Source organism: Homo sapiens, chromosome 2 (genome assembly GCF_000001405.40).
Source record: "Homo sapiens chromosome 2, GRCh38.p14 Primary Assembly".
Lineage (NCBI taxonomy): Eukaryota > Metazoa > Chordata > Mammalia > Primates > Hominidae > Homo > Homo sapiens.
The window spans coordinates 169,479,421-169,506,740 of NC_000002.12; the positions used below are offsets into that span (position 1 = coordinate 169,479,421).

At 40.2% G+C, this 27,320-nt stretch overlaps 1 protein-coding gene across 1 annotated transcript, besides 2 other annotated features; it reads left to right on the forward strand.

The window, feature by feature from the left end:
• Positions 8 to 347: an enhancer, noted in NCBI's record as "active region_16738". NCBI's record gives its function as "activates an Ori minimal core promoter by ATAC-STARR-seq in GM12878 lymphoblastoid cells {active_cell/tissue: GM12878}" and the evidence as "EXISTENCE:reporter gene assay evidence [ECO:0000049][PMID:35858748]".
• Positions 74 to 27,235, forward strand: BBS5 (Bardet-Biedl syndrome 5). Its single transcript, NM_152384.3, has 12 exons — positions 74 to 192; positions 2,831 to 2,913; positions 7,649 to 7,714; positions 8,386 to 8,435; positions 8,567 to 8,694; positions 13,454 to 13,589; positions 14,321 to 14,416; positions 18,207 to 18,269; positions 20,066 to 20,200; positions 23,675 to 23,758; positions 24,883 to 24,906; positions 25,061 to 27,235. The coding sequence occupies exons 1-12, from the start codon at positions 134 to 136 to the stop codon at positions 25,160 to 25,162; spliced, it is 1,026 nt and encodes a 341-aa protein (NP_689597.1). The 5' UTR covers positions 74 to 133; the 3' UTR covers positions 25,163 to 27,235.
• Positions 20,710 to 20,910: a silencer, noted in NCBI's record as "peak3917 fragment used in MPRA reporter construct". NCBI's record gives its function as "represses an SCP1 promoter by STARR-seq MPRAs in K562 erythroleukemia cells {active_cell/tissue: K562}" and the evidence as "EXISTENCE:reporter gene assay evidence [ECO:0000049][PMID:32103011]".

Consider the following 27,320-nt stretch of genomic DNA (forward strand, 5'->3'; position numbering starts at 1 on the left):
CACTCTCGCGGAAGCTTGAGTCTCGGCGCCCGCCGTAGACGTCGTGACAGAGGCGGCCCGTTGCCTTGGAGCCAGAGAGACGCAGCTAGGCCTGCACGGCTGTGGAGAGATCCTGCCACGGGCCTTGTTCACCATGTCGGTGCTGGATGCGCTTTGGGAGGATCGGGATGTCCGTTTCGACCTGTCCGCGCAGTGAGTTTCCAAGATTCCCGAGGGATCTTCAACCCTGTAGAGGGCGCCGCCGTGCGCGTTAGGGACCCGCGGGCGGAGACTGCACCTCCGCAGCTCGCGGCCCTGGTGAGGGTGGGAGGCTTGCGCCGGTCGTCCGCGCCTCGAGAGACCTCAGGCTGGTTGGGCCACTGTGGCCCTCTCGAGGCCGGCGCCGCGGCAAGAGCGCATCGGCATTACACAGTTTTGGTCCCATGCGACCTCCGGTTCCCCCATCCTGGCCCGCGGGACGGATCAGGAATGTGAACCTGAGCACGACCGGGGCCACCCGGGGCTTAGCGTCCCGTATACACCCACGTGAGCTTGGGATTTCAGTTTCATGGAAGGAACGTAGGTCAGGGACTCAGGAAACTAGGGTTCTAAAAGTAGATGTGTAATATCGACCCACAGTGTGGGCCCTTGAGCAGATGTCTTCATCATTCAAGCTAGAATCCTCATGTCTGTAAAATAAGGGAGGTGGGAGTAAGGCAGTCGTCAAAAATTACTAACCGCGCAAACTTTATGTCCTTGGTAAGCTTTCATCTAGTTATTCATATCAGTCACCAACAAGAAGGAGTCTTCTTTTGCAACCTGTTTTTGGAAATTATCATACATTAAATAGAAACCATGTTTTTGGAAAGTATCGTAAAGAAAAAGTGGTTAGAAACCTCCTACTCCAAAATCCAGGGCGGGAAATGCCGGTTGGGTTACTAAGTGTTGAGAAACGCTAAAGCTAAGATTCCTGGATTAATGGCATGGAGCTTCTTAGCTACTTCTTATCGTTCCTTATCATGGACCTCCCCTCCTTAGGTGGAATCGTTCCTTATCATGGACCTCACCTCCTTAGATGGAATCGTTCCTTATCATGGACCTCACCTCCTTAGATGGAAAAATGAAATATTGATAAATTTCTCAGGTTAAGTATAGCTAGATATCTAATGCTAACATGTTAGACCCTTTAAGAAGATGAAAGAGAAAGGAATTCGTAAAATTACGGACTGTAGTAACATATTGCGCACTTTCTATGACATTTTCTGTCATTCTTTTTTTTTTTTTTTTTTTTTTTTTTTTGAGACAGAGTTTCGCTCTTGTTGCCCAGGCTGGAGTGCAATGACGCGATCTCGGCTCACTGCGACCTCCGCCTCCCAGGTTCAAGCAATTCTCCTGCCTCAGCCTCCAGAGTAGCTGGGATTACAGGCACGCACCAACACGCCTGGCTAATTTTGTATTTTTAGTAGAGACGGGGTTTCTCCATGTTGAGGCTGGTCTCGAACTCCTGACCTCAGGTGATCCGCCCGCCTCGGCCTCCCAAAGTGCTGGGATTACAGGCGTGAGCCACTGCGCCCGGCGACATTTTCTGTCTTTCTTGTAGGGTTCTTAATCCAAACAAAAGTCCGTTTCAGTAACATTAGTAAACATTTATCCATGTTTTATTACGTGCTAGTTACTGGGCCGATAGCTAGAGACAGAAAATAATAGGAAATGATATTCATATCCCCCCGTTCTAGTGCAGGAGATACATACAGACAACCACTATAATAAATGTGGTAAATACCATTCTGAAAAAATGAGCGAAAAGCTGAGACTCATAGAAACAGAACAATTTATTCTACCTGGTGAAGTCCTTGAAGAAGAATAAATATTCATAGTATTTGAGTTGTTCCCTGAAGAATGGGCAGAGCCTTGTCAGGGTAGACAGGAGGAGAGTATTCCAGAAAAGAAGAAAAGAATTTAGCGTTAGAAGCAGTCTTGGAGCTGTAACCTCATTAGCTAAAGGCAGGGTCTGCTGCAGAGAGAGGTTGGAAGTACAAATAGATAAATTAGCCAGATTGTAACATTTTTAGCTCAGGATTTTGGACTTCAACTTCTAGGCAGCAGGAAGATATAGAAAGCTTTTAAGCAGGGAAATGATATGGTCATATCTGTATTTTCAATAGGTAGTTGAGTTGGCTTTATGAAGAGTGTATTAGAAGGCTCTTTTAGATATTTTGCTAGGTTTTTTTTTTTGGACACTGTAGAATGTATTCTGTCTGTCAGCAAGCTGCTCTTATTTCCTTTTGTCACCTGTATCTATTTGTCAAATTCCAAAGATGCTTTTCATACAGCTCTTCTTTAACCATTCCTTCTATAATTTCCTGATGTCCTTTCCTCTACTCAGAAACCTTTGGAGGTTCTCTCCTGTGCACAGGATAAGGCCTAAACCTATCAGACTGGCATTCTGAGTTCTCCATAGTCTGGTTCCTCCTTAGTTATCCAACAATATTTCTCTCACTACCTCCCAATATGGTCCTTCTTTCCAAGCTTGGCCAGCCTTCTCCCATGTCCTTACCATTTCTTATTCCTGGTCTTTAATCATGGACTCTCTTTTCTTTTCCTTTTATTTTTCAAAATTCAACACCTCCTACCAATCTGGCTTACTCCAGATGGCCCTGGTCACTCCAGGCCCCACTGATCTTCAGGTTCTTGAAGTTCTTGAAGACCTTATTTCTAAATGCATGAACATTTGGTACAGTATTATTTATGCTGTTAGCTGTTTTATGTACATATGTCTCTTTTCTCCCTAAATAGATTGCAAGCAGGTATAGTTGTAGCTATAAAATTCAAACCTTTATATTCACTTTAGGCAAATGAAAACAAGACCTGGAGAAGTCCTTATTGATTGTTTAGATTCCATTGAAGACACCAAAGGAAATAATGGAGATAGAGGTGAGTATATTTTTAAATGTATCTTATATTCCTGGTTTAATTTACAAATGTTGAATCATATTAGCTAGAGAATATATGAAACAGCATCATTTGTCAGTGTAATTGTGAGAATAGGAGAGTTAAATTCACATAAGACTTTTCTCAGATTTAAACAGAAGACAGGATAGGTATTAAACATGTAGTTTGGTCCTTCAGTAAGTCCTGGTTCTAACATCACCTTTATCCATTGTAGCTGTTAAAACTCAAGTAGACCTGTTTGCAAGGGGCATTAGTTCTGACCGTTAGATCTGTCTTCCCAAAAAAGGATATGGGGTAGTGGAATATAAGTAGGTCATAGCTGTAGTACCTGGAGCCATGCTTCCTTTTCAAAAATTCAGAAGTAATGCACCATCAATCACCTATGGTTGTCACCTAGACATGGATATGCGGAGAGCAAATTTAGTCCTGCACTGTGAAATCTATTTGTAGGTCAAGTACTAGAAAATCCTGTGAGTCTTCTCTGACTGTCACCAAGGACCAGCACAGCTGGACCCTAGAGCCCCTCCCAAACCAAATCTCCCTAAGGTTGGAACTTTTAAAAGTCCAGGCTGCCCATAGCAGCTATCTGTGGAGCCAGTGACCAGTAGGTCTTGAAAGCATCATTACTTCCAAGGAAAAAAAAATAGATGTGGAATGACAGCTTAATGTATCCAGAATATGTTTTAGTGGGAGAAGAAGTTTAGGAGGGAGGGATGTAAACCTCTTATTGGAAAGGGGTAAGAGGGGAAATAGAGCAGACTTCATTCAGGAAAGGGGGAATCAATAACTCATAGAGAAGGAACAGTAAACCTTATTAGCAGAACATGCTTACTGTAGCCCTTTGAGTGGCTGCTTGCTTCCTGAGACTTTCTTCTGACCTGCTCTGAGGTGGCATGTAGGCAGCAGGCCCTGTTGTAAGCCTGCTTCTCTGAGATTGGTTCCCCTCAGAGACCTTATTTTTAAATGCATGAACTTTTGGTACAGTATTATTTATGCTGCTGGCTCTTTTATGTACATATGTCTCGAACTCCTGACTTCAAGTGACCCACCTGTCTCGGCCTCCCAAAGTGCTGAGATTACAGGCATGAGCCACTGCTCCTGGCTAATGTACATATGTCTCTTAGTAGAGACATATTAGATGGTAAATATGTCCCTAATAGATGGCAAGTAGGTATAGTGGTAGCTATAAAATTCAGACCTTTGTATTCATTTTAGGCAAATGAAAACAAGACCTGGCGATGTCTTTATTGATTGTTTAGATTCGGTTGAAGACACCAGAGGAAATAATGGAGATAGAGGTGAGGGCAGTTCCCCTCAGAAGAAAGGCTTAGAAAGGGGCCTGCTGCCTACTTGCCACCACCTACAGGCAGATCCTTTTAGTGGCTAGGGCTCATCCTTAAAGTAATGCTTAGATCACACTTCTGAAATGCTTCCTGGTGTACATCAAGCTCAGATGAGAGTGGAGTATGAAGATCTGGCAGCAAACGAAAAGTCTTAGTTTGTGCTTTTGAGGGTGGAATAATAATCCCAACTATCAAGATGGCTGTATCTTGACGAACTCAGAATTAACTTGAGAAAGCCAATAGAAAGTCTCATACAGATTGGCAGGAACTCTTCATAAAACATTTTTCGATTCCTCAGATATTCATTGAGCGCAGAATCCTATACTAATACTTTAGAGTAGGAAGGGCAGAAAGCTTCCCTGATCAGAAATCTCCAGTGCCTGAAATCCTACTATTAATAAAAATAGGCCAACTGCAATGGCTCTTGCCTATAATTCCAGTACTTTGGGAGGCCAAGGTGGGAGGACTGCTTAAGGCCAGGAATTAGAGACCAGCCTGGCAATATAACAAGACCCTGTCTCTACAGAAAATAAAAAGAATTAGCCATGTGTGGTGTTGTGCGCCTGTGGCCCCAGCTACTGGGGAGGCTGAGGTGGGAGGATCACTTGAGCCCAGAAGGTTGAGGCTTCAGTAAGCCATGTTCATGCCACTGCACTCCAGCCTGGGTGACAGTGCAAGACCCTGTCTCAAAGTTAAAATAGAAATAACTGTGTGTGTGTGTGTGTGCACAGACCTCAAAAACCTTTTGAAATTTTACAGGAGTACGCAGCGCTTCTGGTCATTAAGGAGTTAAAAAATGGAAGGGGAATCCTGCCTTCTAGCCATCTCCCTCCCCTCCCTTTCAGCAGTTTGAAAATGACCAAGTTAAGACATTGCCAAGTTCAAGAGCCCCTTATGTTAAAACTATATCCCAGAAGATTAGCATATTTAATCCATTTTCAACTGTTAGTACCCTGACTTGAAATTATCAGATTAACTTTGCACACTGCCCATAGCTCATAGCCCAGTTATAGAGATAAAATGCTGCTTAGGTGTAAAATGGCATAAGGAAAATATAACCAATGTATCTATAATCAGAAAGTAAGTCATAGAAATGAGTTTGTAAAGAATTAAAATATTATATTAAATAGCTGTGTGAGAATAAAAGGGACAGCCATATTTCAGTGTTTGGGAGATTAGTAGAAACAGGGACAACTATACTTTGGTATTAGGCAGGGTAGAGAGGAAAGTCCATGTCTGGAACACTGGGTTTGGAGCCATAGGCTGGGGTTCTTCAGCAGAAAAGAGGTAGCATTAAAAATCCTAGAGATTGTAGGAGATATACCAAGAGCAAAGAAAAAGGCAAACAGAGGTGGTTGGTGGTTTTATATGGCAAACCCTTCCCACTCCATAATTTCTCCTGGGACCGACAGAAAAATATAAAAGAATCAATAGATGTCCTGAGCCCATAGCCCACTTGTAAAGATAAAATGTTGCCTAGGTAAAATGGCGTAAGGAAAACAGGTATATCTATATAAAAACCAAAAAAAGTTAAAAATGAGTTTGCAAAGGATTATTTTTTAAATAGCTATTATTTGGGGAATGTTTATTGACAGTCACTGTTCTGAATCTTTTATATAAATATAATCTCATTTAACAATAATAAAAACAGTAAAACAAAAAGTTTAAAGTAGATGCAGTCATATTTATTTTCAAATGAGGAAACTGAGGAATACAGAGGTTAGTTTACTTTTCCAAGGTCACGTAGCTAGGTGATGAACCTAACTGCCTACATTGATTTCTAAACTGGGAGGGTCATATTATTTTCTTCTTAAAGATTTTTAGTCCTCCCCAATTCCAATCCTAAACCCCACCCCCAACTCTACTGCCTCCATTGCTAATAGATCTAAGTCTGAATTTCTTTGTCTAGCATTAAAGAACTTCTAGTATGTCCAAAGACAACTTTTATCGCCTGTGCTGCTGTCTTCCATTTGTTCATCCAGGTCCAGCATTCTTCTCCACCCTTTTCCCCTTGCCCTGGAAAGATGACTTGTATAGAGTACATCTAAGGGTTCCTTGTATACTCTGGCTTCCAGTTGGAAGAGCCATGGCAGAAGATCAAAGGGAGGCAGGAGTTTGAGGTCTGGGTATTTATTGCCCTGGTTCCTTCCCAGTGAAGGGTTGGCTGTGTCTCTCCTCTCAAAGCAGTCAGCTCCATAGGACTCTTGTTTCTTCCAGATTTCATGAACTGCTGCTCCCTCTTTTGTAAATAAACCTCAGTTATCCTAACTTGAGTGTGCCATCTGTTTTCCGTTGGACCAATGACTGAAGGATGCTATACCTAGTCTTCTATGATCTTGTGTGAACTTTACACTCCAGCCATGCTGGATTACTTATTATTTGTCAAAGATATTCTGTAATTTTCCACAGTCTCCCTTGAGAATGCTTTCATCTTTTTTAGAGCCATGTTTGCTATCCACTTTTCACTCCAGTATTCGTACAGACCTAGTTTCTCTGATTTTAGACATTATAGAGGTTTTCAGAAATAGTATGACCTGGCTGGCTATAGATTACTCATAAAAATAATTTTATGATTGTAATTTGTTGGTGAAATAATGTGTTTAAACAAAGTGAGTCTTATTATTTCAGAATATCTCAAAGCTATGATAATATGCTGATTGTATTGTACATCTCTAATACACCTAGTATACCATTCTCAAATTTATTGTTTTTTTCTTGGAGCATCAGTAAGAGATCACTATTGTACAGGACACATTTTGAGAAATGAAGTATCTAACTTTGTATTTCAGTGTATGAACATCAGTCTGATGCTAAGATCAAAAAGTATAAAGCCTTAAATAGACTTCAGCCTGACCATAACTTCTTAGGAACAAAATAGTTTGCTCACAGCAAAATTGTGTGTATAAATATATGGTTCATTTAAATGAGAACTGCTAAGAAAGTACTCATATAGAAAGGATTAGTGTGTATGTGAGAGTTCTTTGAAAAGTGTGATTTCAGTGAATAGCTGTGTAATTATCCTATATTCATTCTCAGTTGTACACATATGACTTGCTGGGACCCAGAACAACTTCTACCAAGACAAAAAAACTAGTACACAATTCTTTCTTCAGTCAGTTTGAGTTAGAGCAAAGCTATTGGCAGAGAACATCTGTATCCCTTATATAACTGTCAAATTTTGTTTCTCTGGGATTCTGAATCATATGTTGTATACCTTATATAGGTTGGATATGCACAATATTTTCAGTTAATATATGAAAAATATCTGAGTGTTGCTTCTAATACTGGGCCAGAAGTTCCATATCCATCTCATTCAGTGCTGCAAAAATGGGTTCTTATTTAAGTTAACCTATTTTTTGTCTGTGTGCTTTTAGGTAGACTCTTGGTAACAAATTTAAGAATTCTCTGGCACTCTTTGGCATTATCAAGAGTCAATGTTTGTAAGTATCTTTGTTAGATAAGTCTGAAGAAAAAAAATCCTTTGTCAGGTGAATTTGCATGGTGCCTTTGATACCAAAGAAGTATGTAGAAATATTAATAAAAATAAAAAACCTTCAGAAATCCTAGACATCATAATGCAAACAAAATTATCCATTATTATTTTGGTTTGTCCATTTTGTGTCTTGGACATATAGAAGATTAGGGCTTTAACCTTGGTTCTTGTTTTTTGATTATTTTTGAGAACATACTATCATCCCCTGTTTTGATTAATCCCAAAGAAGGAAGAAGCTCTAATAAAAGTATAATCTTTTCATTGTGTTAAATTTTGTTTCACTTATTTTTTTAAAGTATTTTAGATTATCCAGCTAGACTTGTTCTTTTTTAGTAGTAGTGCCAAAACTTTCAGTAAATAATGCTGCAGAGGCTTTAGGGATGAAGACTTCCTTTTTCCTGTGTTATATTTTTGTTTGTTCAAGGAGACAGAATTGACCCTCTAGTTTTTTTAATTATTTAATTTATAGTTATTTCTTTAAAACTTTTAAAAGTTTATTTCTATATATGTTTAATTTTTTAAACTGTTAAAAGTTCTGTGTATACTTTTTTTTTAGAAAAGTATTTTTTCTCAGTGTACCATATCATGCTCTTTACATTCTTTGCTTTTGGATTTTAGCTGTCGGTTACAATTGCATATTGAATATTACAACAAGGACTGCTAACTCTGTAAGTCTAAAAAATCTTATTGCAATATATATATAGTAAAGAAACTAGATATTTGAGATTGATGTTTGTTTTCACTATAAAGGAGAAATTGCTCTTAAAATCTGAACTTTTAAATAAATTTGTCCTTACAGAAATTACGAGGCCAAACTGAAGCTCTCTATATACTAACAAAATGTAACAGTACTCGTTTTGAATTTATATTTACAAATTTGGTTCCTGGAAGCCCTAGACTTTTTACTTCTGTGATGGCAGTACACAGGTATAGTAATACTTTATGGATTATTGAATATTTTTTGTTTACTCTATGGTTTTAGACTGCAACAGTCCCCAACCTTTTTGGCACCAGGGACCAGTTTCATGGAAGACAGTTTTTCCACGAATTGGGTGAGGGTATGGTTTCAAGATGATTCAAGTGTATTACATTTATTGTGCACTTTATTTCTATTACTATTATATACTCACCATAATGTAGAATCAGTGGGAGCCCTGAGCTTGTTTTCCTGCAACTATATGGTCCCATCTGGGGTGATGGGAGACAATGACAGATCATCAGGCATTAAATTCTCATAAGGAGGGCACAGTCTAGATCCCTTGCATGTGCAATTCACAGTAGGGTTTGCATTCCTATGAAAATCTAATGCCGCTGCTGATCTGACAGGAGGCAGAGCTCAGCTTTGCTTGCTCACTCACCCCCCAACCACTCACCTCCTGCTGGGCAGCCTGGTTCCTAACAGGCCACTGACCAGTACCCATCTATCTGTGGCCAGGGGGTTTGGGACCCCTGTTTTAGAGAATAAAGCTTAGAAGTGTGGTACTGTCTTCCTCCAAGCTCTATTGTAAATATCAGGAAGATGTTGAGAACAACATGTTTTATTATTTAATAAACACTTTGAAGGTATTTATAAAACACATAAAACTACTGAAGATTCATTAAAAATTTCTACTGACAACCAGATTAAATTAGCTACCAAGGTAGGTAAAGTGAAATAAAGAATTCATTCAATATAGCTAAACAAGTTGCATAATTAATTAATTTAAAAGGTTATTTTTCTAGTAGGTAGAAGGCATGTTTGAGTGTTTTCCCTGAAGAGTTTTATTGGTGTTTTGGTTTGTTTTAGGTTTGTGGCCTTTTTTTATTTATTTATGTTTAAATAGAGGTAGGGTCCTGCTTTGTCACCCAGGCTGGAGTATAGTGGTGCAGTCATAACTCACTGAAGCCTCAAACTCCTGAGCTCAAATGATCTTCCTGTCCTAGCCTCCTGAGTAGCTAGAACTACAGGTGCGCACCACCATGTCCTGCTAATTTTTAAAATGTTTTTGTAGAGCCAGACGTGGTGGCGCACGTCTGTAATCCCAACACTTTGGGAGGCTGAGGTGGGTGGATCATTTGAGGTCAGGAGTTCAAGACCAGCCTGGCCAATGTGGTGAAACCCTGCCTCTACTAAAAATACAAAAAAATTAGCTGAGCATGGTGGTGCATGCCTGTAATCCCAGCTACTCTGGAGGCTGAGGCAGGAAAATTACTTGAACCAGGGAGATGGAGGTTGCAGTGAGCTGAGATCGCCGCACTGCACTCCAGCCTGGGCAACAGAGCAAGACTCTGTCTCAAAAAAAAAAAATTTTTTTTTTTTTTAGAGACGGGGTCTCACTTTGTTGTCCAAGCTGGTTTCCAACTCCTGGGCTCAAGTGATTCTCCTGCCTCAGCCTCCCAGAGTGCTGGGATTACACATGTGAGCCACTTCACCCAGGCTGTTTTGTTTTTATATTTTTTCTTCTTGTTGTTTACTAAATTCTTCTCTTTTCACTACCTCGGCTTTTTTTCTTTTTTAAACAAGCCCTAAGTGCTATGATTTTTTTTAAGCTTTGCTAAGATGACAGGATATAGACACATAGGTATGTGTATATATGTGTGTATATAATTGTTTAACTTGTATTTACCAGTGAGGTTGACATTTTTCATATATTTTTTGTATTTTTTGGCTTCTCATAAATTTCCTTTTTTTTTTTTTTTTTTTTTTTTTTTTTTTTTTTTTTTTTAGAGACAGAGTCTTGCTCTGTTGCCCAGGCTGGGGTGCAGCTGCTATCTCAGCTCACTGCAAGCTCCACCTCCCAAGTTCACCCACCATTCTCCTGCCTCAGCCTCCCGAGTAGCTGGGACTACAGGTGCCCACCACCACGCCTGGCTAATTTTTTGTATTTTTAGTGGAGACGGGGTTTCACCATGTTAGCCAGTATGGTCTTGATCTCCTGACCTCGTGATCTGCCCGCCTCAGCCTCCCAAAGGGCCGGGATTACAGGTGTGAGCCACTGGGCCCAGCCAATGAAATGTGCATTTTTTTTTTTTTTTTTTTTTTTGAGACGGAGTCTCACTTTGTCGCCCAGGCTGGAGTGCAGTGGCGCGATGGTCGGCTCACTGCAAGCTCCGCCTCCCGGGTTCACGCCATTCTCCTGCCTCAGCCTCCCGAGTAGCTGGGACTACAGGCGCCTGCCACCACGCCCGGCTAATTTTTTGTATTTTTAGTAGAGTTGGGTTTTACTGTGTTATAGAGACGGGGTTTCACTGTGTTAGTCAGGATGGTCTCGATCTCCTGACCTTGTGATCCGCCCACCTTGGCCTTCCAAAGTGCTGGGATTACAGGCGTGAGCCACCGCACCCAGCAGGAAGCTAAATTTCTTAATTATACCCTTAGCTGTCATATATATTGCAAATATTATTTTTAGTTTCCTAGTTTATTTGATTTTTAATTTTATTGATGTTTTAGTCTATATAATGGCTTAATTTTTTAATTGAGATATAATTCACATAAAATTTTACATAACAAAATTTACGATTTTAAAGTATACAGTTCAATAGTTTTAGTATATTCACAATACTGTTCAACTATTGCCAAGATCCAATTCCAGAATATTTTCATCACTCCCAAAATAAATCCCTTACCCATAGCAGTCATTTCCCATTCCCTCCACTCCACAGCCCCTGATAACCTCTAACTTACTTTGTGTCTATATGGATTTGCCTGTTCTGGAAATTTTATTTACATGGAATCATATAATATGTGGCCTTTTATGTCTGACCTCTTTCACTTACACAGTGTGTTCAAGGTCCATTCATGTTGTAGCATGTATCAGTAGTAGTAGTAGTTCATTCCTTTTTGTAGCTAAAGAATATTCCATTGTATGGGCATACCACATTTTGTTTATCCATTCATGAGTTGATGGACATTTGGGTTTTTTACTTTTTAGCCATTATGAATAATGTTACTATGAACATTTGTGTATAAGTTTTGTGTCAACATCTGTTTTCAGTTCTCTTGGGCATATACCTAAACCTTAGCTCTTTATTTCACTGAGAGAAGTACTGTGAAATGAAAAGTTCTAAATGGAATATGAAGGGAACAGAAGCTGCTTTTCTTTAATAGTATTAAAAACACTATGTGCTTCCCCCCCAAAATAATTTATAGCATAAATAGTTTCTATTTCTTCCACTGGTTAAGTATTGATGATAACAGCACTAAAGAAAATTAACATTTACAAGCAGAGTGCTAAAATTCTGCTCTTTCACAATTTAAATATTAGAAGATTAAAATAAAAATTAGAAGTTCAACAATGAATATATGAATCTGTTGTTATTAAGGCTAAGAAAACTTTACTTTTGTTAAATAGGTAACTTAGCCTGTTTTATATGAAATATTAAAATTAATCAAAAGTTAATCAGGGTTTCTGTATTATCAATAGACATTGAAAAAGTTATAAGGATTTAATTCTCTTTCCCTCCCTCCCCCTGTCCTTTTTCCTCCCTCTTTCTCCCCCTCTCCCTCCCTGTTCTTCTCTTCCTCTTTCCCCCTTCTCCCCTTAGGGTCCCTTTTGGAATCAGTACAGATTCATTCTAGTTTTCTGTATAGAGGTAGACATGAGCATGTTTTCAGGTTGCAGTGAGAAAAAGTAATTGTTTTTGTTTTGAGACAGAGTCTCGCTCTGTGGCCCAGGCTGGAGTGCAGTGGCGCAATCTCAGCTCACTGCAATGTCCACCTCCTGGTTTCAAGCAATTCTTCTGCCTCAGTCTCCCAAGTAGATGAGACTACAAGTGCACACCACCACACCCGGCTAATTCTTGTATTTTTAGTAGAGACAGGGTTTCACCATGTTGGCCAGGCTGCTCTCAAACTCCAGACTTCAAGTGATCTGCCCACCTCGGCCTCCCAAAGTGCTGGGATTACAGGTATGAACCACTGTGCCCGGCCGAGAAAAAGTATTAATAATTGGACGCCTGTTTATGTCCTTTGAAAAACAAGGAAAGGAAGAAAAGGTAGCATTTTGATAGAAAAAACAATTTCCATGTGTATTAAAAAATAGGGGCTGGGCATGGTGGCTCACGCCTGTAATCCCAGCACTTTGGGAGGCCGAGGCGGGCAGATCACGAGGTCAAGAGATCGAGGCCATCCTGGCCAACATGGTGAAACCCTGTCTCTACTAAAAATACAAAAACTAGCTGGGCATGGTGTCGTGCGCCTATAGTCCCAGCTACTCGGGAGGCTGAGGCAGGAGAATCACTTGAACCTGGGAGGCAGAGGTTGCAGTGAGCCAAGATTGCACCACTGCACTCCAGCCTGATGATAGAGTGAGACTCCATCTCAAAAAAAAAAAAAAATAGGTTATTGAGATAAAATATGTAAATAATACACTAAAATGACAAATTCTACAAAAAACTGTAATTGCCAGACCTTATTAAAAAGAAAAATATAGCTGGGTACAGTGGCACATGCCTATAGTCCCAGCTACTCTGGAAGCTGAGCCAGGAGTATCACTTGAGCCCAGGAGTTTGTGTCCGGCTTGGGCAAGGTATTGAGACTTTGTCTCTATAAGAACAATTTTTAAAAAGAAATAAAAATATTAAAATGTATCATAATTATTTGAGTAATGTTCATAAATACTAACAACTACATATTTTAGTAAGTAAACATAACCCAAGAAAATCACATTTTCAGTTTGAGTTGTCTTTTGTTTGTTCTTTTTCATAGAGCTTATGAAACTTCTAAAATGTATCGTGATTTTAAATTAAGAAGTGCACTAATTCAGAACAAGCAACTAAGACTGTTGCCACAAGAACATGTATATGATAAAATAAATGGAGTTTGGAATTTATCCAGTGATCAGGTATTGTGCAAAGAGCTAGTGAACCTTTTGGGACAGTGTTTTGGTAATCATTTTTCCATTCATCATTGGATTTATATAGTCAATTCTAATTGTTAAAATTAGCATTATAGGAAAGCGTATTACTTTTCAATAAGTACAAGTTAGGTTGATGATAACATCCCTATTTTCTTTCAATACAATGAAATATCTGATAATCCTGGAATGTCTCCTTAATTAATGAATAAAAAATTTGCGGTGCTATGCTAGGTGGTAAAGATCTAACTATGGAACAGAGTAACTCCGCTCCTATCCTTATAAAGAATACAATCTAATGTATATTCATGGGGATTATTACATATGTTTTGTTTCTCTTACTACAACTCCTTTGCCTTAACCTATCCAAGGTTTTGAATAATAATTTTAGTAAGGTCTAACATTTAGGCACTGTGTTAGGATTGATTTACATGGGATATTTAATCAGATCTCCATTTTACATTTGACAAAATACATCAAGAAGAAATTTCCCTATGGTCAGACAGTTGGTAGGTACTAATGGTTTAATGATTAGGCAGCCTGACTCCAAAGTCCAGGCTGTCACTCGTCTAATTGTACTGCCATCAATGAATGATGAAGTCATTGATACTCAATTTTGGTATTATTTGCTGCTGTAATAAGTTATTCTGGTGATTAGAAAATAAAGAATAGGTACCAAAAAAATGATCATTTCGGTATCTCATTACTGTTTTTTACAGGGCAATTTAGGAACCTTTTTTATTACCAATGTGAGAATTGTGTGGCATGCAAATATGAATGATAGTTTTAATGTCAGTATACCATATCTGCAAATTGTAAGTACATACATTTTGATGACCTTATTTTAATGTAAAATAAATATTTTTTGTTCAATAGTTAATTGGACTTTTAGATGAGTTCTTTCTCCCTTTTTTAAGTGGTAGCAGTTATTAGCTGAGAGCATATTTTAAAGATGCTGATAATTTACTATGAAATATTTCAATGTAGAAAAGATCCAATTGTACTGCATTCCAGAGAAGCAGCACCATTATCAACTTGCTATTAGAAGAGAAATATACTGGATTCTAAAAATTTAAATAGTAATACAGAGTAAGGTGTCTCTTGGATTCCATCCAGAGGGCTTTAGCTATTAAAGTTTTCTGTAACTTTTTCATGAGGCAGGTATGTGGTGCTTCCTTGGCATAGATTTAGCACACTGATCCACAGTTTTTCTTGGCTCTCTTGTCATTTTCTGCTCTAAAGCTTTTAAAAGCCAGAAGGAATTTATTAATTCTGCGAATGAACTGCTTTCATTGTATTTAGATACAGAATGTAATACAAGCTGGATTCATACCACAGGTTTAGTGAAAGGAATCAAGATGATTTTTAGTGATAATACTTTCAGCTTAAGTTCAATTAAAACTGTTAAAATCAGGCTGGGCATGGTGGCTTATTCCTGTAATCTCAGTACTTTGAGAGGCAGAGGCGGGAGGATTGCTTGAGGTCAGGAGTTCGAGACCAGCATGGGCGACATAGCTAGACTCCTTCTCTATTTAAAAAAAAAAAAAACTATGAAAATTCAAAATAAGAACTGACTATATCTGAGACCAGTTTGTTTTGGGAATAGGTAAAGATAGTTCTTTGTACTCTGCTGCTGCTATGATAAATAAGTGACTCAGTGAAACAAACTGTAAACTTCAATACACTAAATAATTTTGTTTTATATAAACTACTTATAGAATTCTAGAACAAATTAGATGGAACATAAAAATAGTTAATGAAAATCCCATGAGATTATCCTATGATAATTGCCCTTATTGTAGGATATATAGTCTTAAGACTAAGGAGTTTTATTAATATTTATTGAGTAGACAGAATGTATGTGATACCTGGAAAATACCGTTTTTAAGGAAAGAATTCCTGGCCCATGAGAAGAATAATTCTTTGCAAAATATTCCCAACCCTATTTTTGGCTAAATTGTTTGATTTCAGAGTTTCTTTAAAATTTCTGATAATTCATTCATTTTTATGCCAAATTTTGAATACCTACTCTGTGCCAAGTGCTAGAGATACAATCATGAAAATCATGAACCAGTATACAGTTCCTGCCATCAAGGGGCTTTCAGTCTGTTGGAGAAAAGCAACATATTAAACAGAAAGCCATAGAATCTCATAGGAAGAAAATTATTTCTGGCTATCAAAAGGAATATAAGAGTTTGTAATCAAGGCTGGGACAATGTAACAAAATCTAGATAGGTATTTGACAAATTGGTGTTTGTATTGCTATTGCTTTTTTATATTGCATTACATTAATGTGTTATAGCTTGCCTAACCTAACTTCTATTATGCTGAATAATTACTGAGTAGTAAACAACCTTGTGCTTTCTGTTCTTTTTGTTATTTAAGAATAGAGTTGTCAAATATGGCGTCTGGAATTAATTCAAGTGGCCCAAACAACTTGCAATCTGATATCATCACAGTCTGTCACTGCGGCAGTCATAGTCTAACTTCAGCTCTACACCTCAGCCATTACCCTGACCCCACTCCTATAGATATTTATATCAGCTTCTTGCCAGTTTCTGTCTTACCAGCCTGTGTCACCCACAGACACCTGGTTAGATTACCTATTGAAAGCCAGAGTGCCAGTGTTCTGTGATTCTTTCTTTCCTTTTTAGACAGGGGTCTCACTCTGTCACCCAGGCTAGAGTACAGTGGCATGGTCTTGGCTTACTGCAACTGCTGCCTCCCAGGCTCAGGTGATCCTCTCTCCTCAGCCTCCTGAACAGCTGGGACCACAGGCGTGCACAGCCACACCTGGCTAATTTTTTTGTAATTTTTGTAGAGACGGGGTTTCACCATGTTTCCCAGGCTGGTCTCAAATTCCTGAACTTAAGCAATCTGCCCACCTCAGCCTATATAGGCGTGAGCCCCCGCCCCTGGTCAGTGTTCTATGATTCTTAACTGGGATTGTATATACTCTTGATGGGGTGTAAAGTAGCCCAGATGAAAGGCCAGGTTTTCGTAACAATTATCATCAAAGCCTTTCTTCTTTTTCTGAGTCTCTTTCTCAAAGTTGCCTATCTGTCTAGAAGCATGGTATCCCATCATCACCTGCCAGATTACCCTTCTCTGGGCTTTTGGTCTGCTGGTCATAGTGTTAGGTCCTCCGTGATTCTCCCCTACCCTGCCAGCAGGTACATTTTGTGTGACTTCTACAGGCCCTACCTGCCATTCTGCCTCTACTCTCCCCTTCTCCCAGGCCACTGGTTTCACCATCTATCTTCCACTAACCAAGCTTAGTCCTCACATCACATTTACCAGTTGATGTTAATTACACTTAATCTATCCCAACCTTCCTTGATGTCTAGTGATAAATATTCAAACTTATTTTTAAAACTTAAATATTTTATATTAAACTTAAATAATTAAAATTATTTTTAAAACTTAGACTACAGATGGGCATGGTGTCTCACGCCTGTAATCCCAGCACTTTGGGAGGCCTAGGTGGGTGGATCACAAGGTCAGGAGATCCAGACCATCCTGACTAACACAGTGAAACCCAGTATCTACTAAAAATACAAAAAATTGGCCGGGCGCGGTGGCTCACGCCTGTAATCCCAGCACTTTGGGAGGCCGAGGCGGGCGGATCACAAGGTCAGGAGATCGAGACCATCCCGGCTAAAACGGTGAAACCCCGTCTCTACTAAAAATACAAAAAATTAGCCGGGCATAGTGGCGGGCGCCTGTAGTCCCAGCTACTTGGGAGGCTGAGGCAGGAGAATGGCGTGAACCTGGGAGGCAGAGCTTGCAGTGAGCCAAGATCACACCACTGCACTCCAGCCTGGGCAACAGAGCGAGACTCCGTCTCAAAAAAAAAAAACCTTAAATAGAATAGAGGTTCTTTTAAGAATGTAGCCATCTATGATGTAAGAAACAGAAGGCACATGTGACTTTAAAAAACTAAACTAGGCTTAGGAGCTACAAAAGGCACGGCTTACCAAAACTAAAAGATTGCTAGCCTTTTGTTTAAAAGTTCAGTCTGGGCACTGTGGCTTATGCCTGTAACCCCAGCACTTTGGGAGACCAAGAAAGGAGGATTGCTTGAAGCCAGGAGTTCAAGATCAGCCTAGGCAGCATAGTGAGACCCCTATCTCTACAAAAAAGAAAAAATTAACTGGGCATGGTGACACATGCCTGTAGTCCTAGCTAATCAGGAGGCTGAGGCAGGAGGAGGATCCCTTAGCCCAGGAGTTTGAGGCTGTGGTGTGCTATGATCACACCATTGTAGTCTGGTCTGGGTGGCTGAATGAGACCTAATTAATTTAATTGTCTCTAATTTTTAAAAATGTTTACTCCCTGGAAGTGAGAAATATTTGAGTCCGGGAATTTTGTACATATTTCAGAGATGTCTTTCTTGTATTGCCTCTTAAAAGTTTGCCACCTATTTTCAGTATGAGTCTTGTTTCTTTTACTTGATCTCTGTGGCAGTTTAATGAAGGAAGGAGGGAGAATTCTGTTCTTTAGACTATGAAAAGTAAATACTGTGTAAAGTTTAAAAACTGAGTTAAAGAGTCACTATTCAGTTAATAAAAACTTGCATGTTTTTCTTTTTCATTTTGTATCTAGCGTTCAATAAAGATTAGAGATTCAAAATTTGGTTTAGCTCTTGTCATAGAAAGCTCTCAGCAGGTAAGATCTTGTATATTTTTATTAATCTTTGATTTTTAAAACTATGTGACAGTCTAGATTTTTGGTTTTATTTATATAGTAATCAGTTTACATCTGAGAAGAATATTAGCTTTAATATGAAGTTATATATGAAGTGTTTGAAGTCATACAGAAATTGTCCCCAGAGGAAGAATCCTGCTTATATTTTTTTGTTGGACAGACATGATCATTTGTGATCATCACTTATTATTAATGACAGAATCAAGTCATTGTGCCGAGGGCTTTTCATGCATTATCTCAATCTTTACACAATCCTACGATACAGCTACTATTTTTCCCCCATTTTATAGTCAAGGGAACTGAGGCTTTGAGAAGTTAGGAACCTTGACCATGATCTCACAACTAGTAAGTGATGGGGCTAAGTTTTGATCTCAAGTCTGACTGATTTACCAAGACTGTCTTTGAGAAACACAAACATATATTTGTGTACACACACACAGTTTGAGGTCTTATATTCTCACACACAGATTATATGCTAATTATAACCTGTTATGCTCCATTATGCCAGGTTTTTGCAGAAATACATTTAAATAAAACATGCTGGTCTCATGATAGTAGGTTTCACTGGCTAAGAAAAATTTTAAATACATTTTTAAAAGTGATTTATAAAATTACTTATCATCTACATTCTAAATTTAAACATGAATGTCTGCTTACTCCTTTCTCCTGGCCTACAGCTGCCATTTATTGAGTATTTACTCTGTTCCAAGAACTATACCAAATGTCATATATATGTTTATCTTATTTTATATGACAACTGGATAACCATTTTATGGTTAGAAAATTGAGGCTTAGAAAGGTTAAGGAGGCCGGGCGCAGTGGCTCATGCTTGTAATCCCAGCACTTTGGGAGGTCGAGGCGGGCAGAGCAGGAAGTCAGGAGATCGAGACCACGGTGAAACCCTGTCTCTACTAAAAATACAAAAAATTAGCCGGGCGTGGTGGCGGGCACCTGTAGTCCCAGCTACTCCGGAGAGGCTGAGGCAGGAGAATGGCGCGAACCCGGGAGGCGGAGCTTGCAGTGAGCCGAGATCGCGCCGCTGCACTCCAGCCTGGCCGACAGAGCGAGACTCTGTCTCAAAAAAAAAAAAAAAAAAGAAAGGAAGGTTAAGGAAAGTTTCTAAGTATCCTACAGCTAGTGAATTAGTGGTAGAACCAGAATTTGAACATTAAAAGCGTGTGCTCTTAACCCAGAACATATACTCTCACCTATTACAGTATGCTACTTAGTTTTTTAACACTCCTTTCAAAACACTGTATCATGGCCCAGTTTCTTTCCTAATTCTTCAAGGAGATAGCCTCAGATGGCCCATTTCCTTTCTTCTTTTCGTGTAGTCTGTTCCTTTTCAAGGCCTAGTTCAAGAAAAACTTAGTTCCCTTGGCCTTCACAGTCTACAGTGTATTTTTTAAATCTTGAAAGGTTACCTTTGATATTTCAGATGAACTTATATTTGAATACACTTCAAAATAAGCCTGCGTTGGGGGAATGGTGTTCAGGTGAGGGCGAGGTTACAGATGAAACAGGGTTGTCCACATGTTGCTGCTTCTTGAAGCTGGATGATGGCTCCGTGGAGGCCCCCTTGTGCTCTTCTGTTTTTGTATGTGCTTGAAATTTTTCATAATAAAAAGTTTAATTGAAAAAATGAACTTACGTATTATGCTCTAAAATAAGGACAAATTGAGCTATAATTTATCTTATACTATAAATACTGTTCTTCAGACTTGTTGGGTTTTTTTTTATTATTTTTTCTCTTGTAGAGTGGTGGATATGTTCTTGGCTTTAAAATAGATCCTGTGGAAAAACTACAAGAATCAGTTAAGGAAATCAATTCACTTCACAAAGTCTATTCTGCCAGTCCCATATTTGGAGTTGATTATGAGATGGAAGAAAAGGTAATTTGTTGAGTATGTGAAATAAAGTTTGCATTGCTTTATGCAGTCTATAAAATTCAGATGTAGATACCACTGTGCACCATTTAATTTTGAACTGTTTTTAAAATGGTGAATATACAGATTCTGCTCAAGTGGGCATAGCTCCTGGATTATCACTAATTTGTACCTACCACCTGTCTTCTAAGTGGCTGCTTCATCATTCATTCCTGCCCCGCATACCTGCCCTTGTAGGTGGGCAGCCACCTGAGTAAATTTCCATGTGCAGTGCTCCTCTGATACAGACTTGAGTCTCTCACTCTGTCAGATTTTTATTTTACTTCAGCCCCCTATGAGCATGGACAAACCTTATAGTCCTCATGAATACCGTCTTCTGCCTTAGTACTCCACAATATAGCAACTCCAGGAGTAGGCTACATCAGCACGGCCTGCATCCATTCCTGTTGATCTGTACCTCTGCCATATCAGTTATGAAGTATTTTGCATATCCTGCCCACATGTCTGCTCTTTGTCTTCTTCATGATTTCTTTCCTGGTTGCTGCTACTATTCCCTGCTCTCCAGGTACATGAGCTCTCTTTTGGCTTCATTTGTCTCTCCAGCTGGGACCCTCATCATCCAGTCTATCAGTGATTTCCTCACTACCTACTCCATTAGAGGTGTCCTTACTGTCCACTCTATCACCAGTACCCTTGCTAGAGGCGCTAGCTCTGATGTACTTGCTGTCCCCTCTATTGTTGGTGCCCCCCACTGTCTGCTCTATCACTGGGACAGTCACTCACCATTCTGTCAGAGGTGCTCTTTCCATTTGCTCCACTGCCATTGCCCTTGCTGTCCTCTCTGTCCTGGTCCCATCACTGATCACTCGATTGTAGACTCCCTTGCTGTCTGTTCTTTTACTGGCACCCTCATTATGCACTCTATTGTTGGTGCCCTTGCCGTTTACTTTATAATCGGTGCCCCTGCTGGGGCTTGGCATGCTGATCCATATCACAGCCATTACTTATATCTCTTCTTCTGCTCTTGGACTACAGCATGTGACTTTAGTGAGGCCCTTGTTGCCTGGTAGTGCTCCTTGTACTTAATTTTTTCTCTCCCTGTCGAATTCCATATATTTCTCCTTCTAGCTAAAACTTGCATCTGGGTTTCTGACATTGTATTACATACACGGTATGTATTTCATCATCTGAACCATCCTTTCTTTTTCTTCCCAACATGCTCTTCTTTCAGCAGTCTCCCTTTCACTCTGCCTTCTCTGTATATTCCTTGGTAATATCACCTGCTCGTTCAGCTTCTTCAACTTGTACTTTTGTGGATGACTGTAGATCTTTCCTTCTGACCTTGACATATTCTTTCAGCTTATGGTTCCAAATACCCTTGAATATTTTCATATAGTTGAGCATCCCAAATGCTACGAGTGGAATTTCTTATTTCAGATTTATCTTAGTAATTTAAATAATTATGCAAGTCAATAAGATACACCAGGACTTGGATGAGCATCTCAAACTTGGCATACCTAAAACTGGCCTCCTCATCTTTTTCTCAAAAGCAGCAACCTGCTGATTTATTGATTTGTTTACTTATATATTTTTGGCACTGTCAAAGTCAGCTGTACTCAAAACTTTGAAGTATTCCTTCATTTTCCCATTATCTCATTTTACACTTTCAGTCATACCAGTCTCTTCCCTGTTTCTAGTTATTACTCTTCTTTGTAGAATAATGTTGCAGAACAAGCATGGTCCTTAGAACCTGACTTTCAATCCCAGTTTCATCATTTATTTGTGATCCTAGGCAAATCTGAGCTTCAGTTTTCTCAAAATTGATATAGGGCTAGCCACGGTGGCTTATGCTTGTAATCCCAGCATTTTGGAGCAGCCGAGGTGGGAGAATCACGTGAGGCCAGGAGTTTGAGACCAGCCTCAACATAATAAGACAACATAGTGACACCCTGTCTCTACTAAATTTTTTTTAAATTTTAAAAACCAGGTGTGGTGGTGCCGGCCTGTAGTCTTAACTACTCCGGAGGCTGAGATGGGAGGATTGCTTGAGGTCAGGAGTTTGAGGCTGCAGTGAGCTATGATCATGCCATTGCACTGCAGCAATGACCTATCTCTTAAAGCAAGACCTTATCTCTTAAAAAAATAAAAGAGAAAAACAGACATAATCTTTCTTACAAAGTTATTGATCATGTCCATTAAATGCCTGGCACATGGGAGATGCTTGATAGGTTAGTTGCCCTACGCATTCTCTAATTTTCGTTTGTTCTCTTCTCCTGTTCTTTGACCCCAGTATATAATAGCAGCTAGCTGTAATAGCTCACTGTCTCACCTCATGTGAGTCCCTACTCAAATGCCATCTCTTCAGGATCTTCCCTGACTATTCTTCTAAAACAGCAACTCCCATCACTTTATTCTGCTTGCTTACTTTCTCTCTCCTTCCTCCCTTCCTTTCAGAATTAATCAGCCTCCTCCACTATAAATGATCTCCCTGAAGTCAGCGATTTTTGTCTGCTTAATGGCTATATCTCCAGCAGTCAAAACTAGCACACGATAGGCTCTTAGTGAATATTCATAGTTGTTGGATGACTGTGTTAAACATCTGCTGTTTGTCATTCACTGCTCTAAGCACTTTATATGCACCATCACATTTAATCTTCCCAACAATACTGTGAGGCATATTATTATTATCCTTATCCCACAGTTAAGGAGACTGAGGCTTAGTTAATTTACTTGCACATAGTCACACAACTCTGAGCGTGGTTGAAACACTAAGGCTATCCTCAGCTTTGTTATAACTGCTTTTTGTAGGTTGAAGCATATAATAGTGTTGATATTTTATCATTTTGACTGATAAAAAATGGCAGTTTCTTTTGGTTCAACATAATATTTAGTTATCGGTCATTGTGTCTTATATTTTCCTCTACTCAGTAAATTATAAACCCTTTGTGAGTAAGGGTAGGATTTTATAACCCTTGGTACTACTGGCATAGTACCTAATATAACAAAGGGGATATTCAAACATTTGAAAAATGAACAAATAAATAAGTGTTAGTTCTACATTTTATTCTTTACCTTTAGAATATTCCATAAAAATATTAGTTCTTTTACTTTTCACAAATTCTATATAATGACTATTCTGAGGAAAACTGAACATTTGCTGTTATGCAAAACTTAGTTTTTCTAAATAATGTGAAAGAAATGTGAAAGTCAAGTCAGAGTTTTTTCTTTAAAGATATCTGAGTATCTTAAGTATGTGTAAATTTCTCTTTCTGGTTCTTTTCGTGATGCTGACTTCAGATATGAAAGTTTAGGTTTAATTGATTAGTTTTATTACTTGTTAGTTTTTTAATAAAATAACAAATTATACCGTGATTTTTATAAGACTTTAGTAGTTTGTAATTGTTATTTTAACAGTATTTGCAGTTCTCATGGTACATTTAATATTGTCTCTGATGCATTTTAACATCTGCTGATTTTCAGCCCCAGCCGCTCGAAGCTCTGACAGTCGAACAAATTCAAGATGATGTAGAAATAGACTCTGATGGTCACACGGATGCTTTTGTGGTGAGCATCACAAAGGACAGCATTAAATTTCTTAAGGATTTTATCTCAGTCTTGTTTAATAAAATAATGGTGTGTGTGAAACACCATATAACTTGAGATTTTGATGGTGTCTTAAACCTGAGTTTGAAGATAATATTTTTAGTGAGGGATTTCTTTTGTGACGATAACTTTTAAATTACCAAAATCAGAAATACTTTGAGGCCAGGTGCAGTGGCTCACACCTGTAAGCCCGGCACTTTGGAAGGCCGAGGTAGGCTGATCGCTTGAGAGGATAGGAGTTTAAGACCAACCTGGCCAACATGGCAAAAATCCATTTCTATAAAAAAAGAAAAAAAAGGAAAGAAATGCTTTGAAAACACAGTTATTCAGAGGATTTTAGGATTTTAGATATCTAAAGTTTTTTCATACTGTGAATAGAACATGTTAAATATTGTTAATTAAATTAATTTAAAATCTATACTTAATTTTTATGAAATGTTCATCTCTTAATTTATAGGGATCTTGTTTTGAAATGGACATGTATTTGAACAATAGCTTTCCTATTTCCAAATTGGTATCATTTAACTTATAGCCAAAATAATAGTGCTTTCTCCATTCTATGGCTATGAATCTGACTAGAATACCTGTCTGGTAACAAATACTTTGAAACAAAGGTGTGAAATTAGTATAAAATAATTATAAACTACTACTGCCTCAAACTGTATGCATCTGCTGACACATTGAAGTACTTGTTTTGTTTTGCCAGTATCATCTTCTAAACCAAATGTAGGGAAGAAATTGTATAGCTTCTAAGTCATTCTTTTTCTTTTCTTTTTTTCTCTTTTTTACCTGTTTCTTGCCACATGATGATTAAGTCATTCTTTTTTATCTCCTTTCAAGTTAACAGTGCTAATCATACATTACAAAGCACATTTTTTACAACTTAAGGTATAACTCTTGTAGACATGAACAGAGTGAATTCTGCTACCAGCATTGTAGAGATAGGTGAAAAAAACATTACACAGTAACAGAATGTGAAATACATTTAGTTATAAAATCATTCTGCATATTAAGTTCCTTAGCCCACTGATCTATTCGAATATTATATGTCCAGTTTGTGAAATAGAATTTTCTTTGTCTTACAGGCTTATTTTGCTGATGGCAATAAGGTAAGGACATTTATTTTACCTACAGTATATGAAAAAAGTTTCTAAATTCCAACATTTAGCATTCACAAACTTATGTGAAACCTATTTTTTTGTTTTTTTCCTCTTCCTTGCCCACCTTCTCTATTCCCATCTTATCCTCCTGTCTCCCAAAAAGCAACAAGATCGTGAACCTGTATTTTCAGAAGAACTGGGGCTTGCAATAGAGAAATTGAAGGATGGATTCACCCTACAGGGACTTTGGGAAGTAATGAGTTGATTGACCTTGAGTTGAGATGGATTTCTATTAAAGATATCTCTAGTTTAAAGATACTAGTCACCTGCCATAAGTCATGGAATAGTTTTTATATTTACAGCTTTTATATTTAAAACTTGTAAGAGTTTTTTTAATGATTGAGGAAAAAGTCATTTAGAAAACTTCAGTTTTCGGCCAGCGCGTCGAGGGAGGGGCCAGCGACACATGGCCTAGTAACCGTCCGGCCGCGGCGCTGGCTTAAGCCATGGCTGAGGGTAGCTGGATTCCTCAGGCCCGGGCGCTCCTACAGCAGTGCCTGCACGCCCGGCTGCAAATTCGCCCAGCCAATGGGGACGTTGCGGCCCAGTGGGTGGAGGTCCAAAGAGGACTGGTGATCTACGTGTGCTTTTTCAAGGGAGCTGATAAAGAACTTCTTCCCAAAATGGCCGAAGCTGGACTGTACTGCTGCCATCTCTGGCTCACTGCAACCTCCCTGCCTGATTCTCCTGCCTCAGCCTGCCGAGTGCCTGCGATTACAGGCGCGCGCCGCCACACCTGACTGGTTTTCGTATTTTTTTGGTGGAGACGGGGTTTCGCTGTGTTGGCCGGGCTGGTCTCCAGCTCCTAACCGCGAGTGATCCGCCAGCCTCGGCCTCCCGAGGTGCCGGGATTGCAGACGGAGTCTGGTTCACTTAGTGCTCAATGGTGCCCAGGCTGGAGTGCAGTGGCGTGATCTCCGCTCGCTACAACCTCCACCTCCCAGCTGCCTGCCTTGGCCTCCCGAAGTGCCAAGAGTGCAGCCTCTGCCCGGCCGCCACCCCGTCTGGGAAGTGAGGAGCGTCTCTGCCTGGCTGCCCATTGTCTGGGACGTGAGCAGCCCCTCTGCCTGGCTGCCCAGTCTGGAAAGTGAGGAGCGTCTCTGCCCGGCCGCCATCCCATCTAGGAAGTGAGGAGCGCCTCTTCCCACCCGCCATCCCATCTAGGAAGTGAGGAGCTTCTCTGCCTGGCCGCCCATCGTCTGAGATGTGGGGAGCACCTCTGCCCGGCCGCGACCCCATTTGGGAGGTGAGGAGCAACTCTGCCCAGCCGCCCCGTCTGAGAAGTGAGGAGACCCTCCGCCTGGCAACCGCCCCGTCTGATAAGTAAGGAGCCCCTCTGCCCAGCAGCCGCCCCGTCTGAGAAGTGAGGAGCCCCTCTGCCCAGCAGCCACCCTGTCTGGGAAGTGAGGAGCGTCTCCGCCCGGCAGCCACCCAGTCCGGGAGGGAGGTGGGGGGGTCAGTCCCCCGTCCGGCCAGCCGCCCCGTCCGGGAGGTGAGGGGCGCCTCTGCCCAGCTGCCCCTACTGGGAAGTGAGGAGCCCCTCTGCCCCGCCAGCCACCCCGTCCGGGAGGGAGGTGGGGGGGTCAGCCCCCCGCCCGGCCAGCCGCCCCGTCCGGGAGGGAGGTGGGGGATCAGCCCCCCGCCCGGCTAGCCGCCCCGTCCGGGAGGCGAGGGGCGCCTCTGCCCGGCTGCCCCTACTGGGAAGTGAGGAGCCCCTCTGCCCGGCCAGCCGCCCCGTCCAGGAGGGAGGTGGGGGGGTCAGCCCCCCGCCCGGCCAGCCGCCCGGTCCGGGAGGGAGGTGGGGGGGTCAGCCCCCCGCCCGGCCAGCCGCCCCGTCCGGGAGGTTAGGGGCGCCTCTGCCCGGCCGCCCCTACTGGGAAGTGAGGAGCCCCTCTGCCCGGCCACCACCCCGTCTGGGAGGTGTACCCAACAGCTCATTGAGAGCGGGCGATGATGACAGTGGCGGCTTTGTGGAGTGGAGGTGGGGGGAAGGTGGGGAAAAGATTGAGAAATCGGATGGTTGCCGTGTCTGTGTAGAAAGAAGTAGACATGGGAGACTTTTCATTTTGTTCTGTACTAAGAAAAATTCTTACCCTAAAACTTAAAGTATAATAAAAAAAAAAAAACTTCAGTTTTCTAAAAATTATATTTAAAATTGTAATCAAAATGTACCTAGTTTATAAATGTTTATTTTGTACTTAATACCTGTAAAGTCTTAGTTTTCAGACATTAAGTGACTGTATCATGTTCGGTTTAATAAAGAATTTATGCAGCACCATTTAACGTTTTGAAAGTATTATTTAAAAGAAAAAGACTATTCTTACGGAATAATCAAAATTCTGCTTTCTTAATTGTAAAAATCT

Bases quoted from the DNA above. Each gene is read 5' to 3' on its own strand.
- BBS5 (NM_152384.3), top strand. From the start codon at position 134: ATGTCGGTGCTGGATGCGCTTTGGGAGGATCGGGATGTCCGTTTCGAC. The intron at 2,914-7,648 runs GTGAGTATATTT...GTGTGCTTTTAG, and splicing joins AGGAAATAATGGAGATAGAG to GTAGACTCTTGGTAACAAAT. The intron at 20,201-23,674 runs GTAATTTGTTGA...GCTGATTTTCAG, and splicing joins ATTATGAGATGGAAGAAAAG to CCCCAGCCGCTCGAAGCTCT.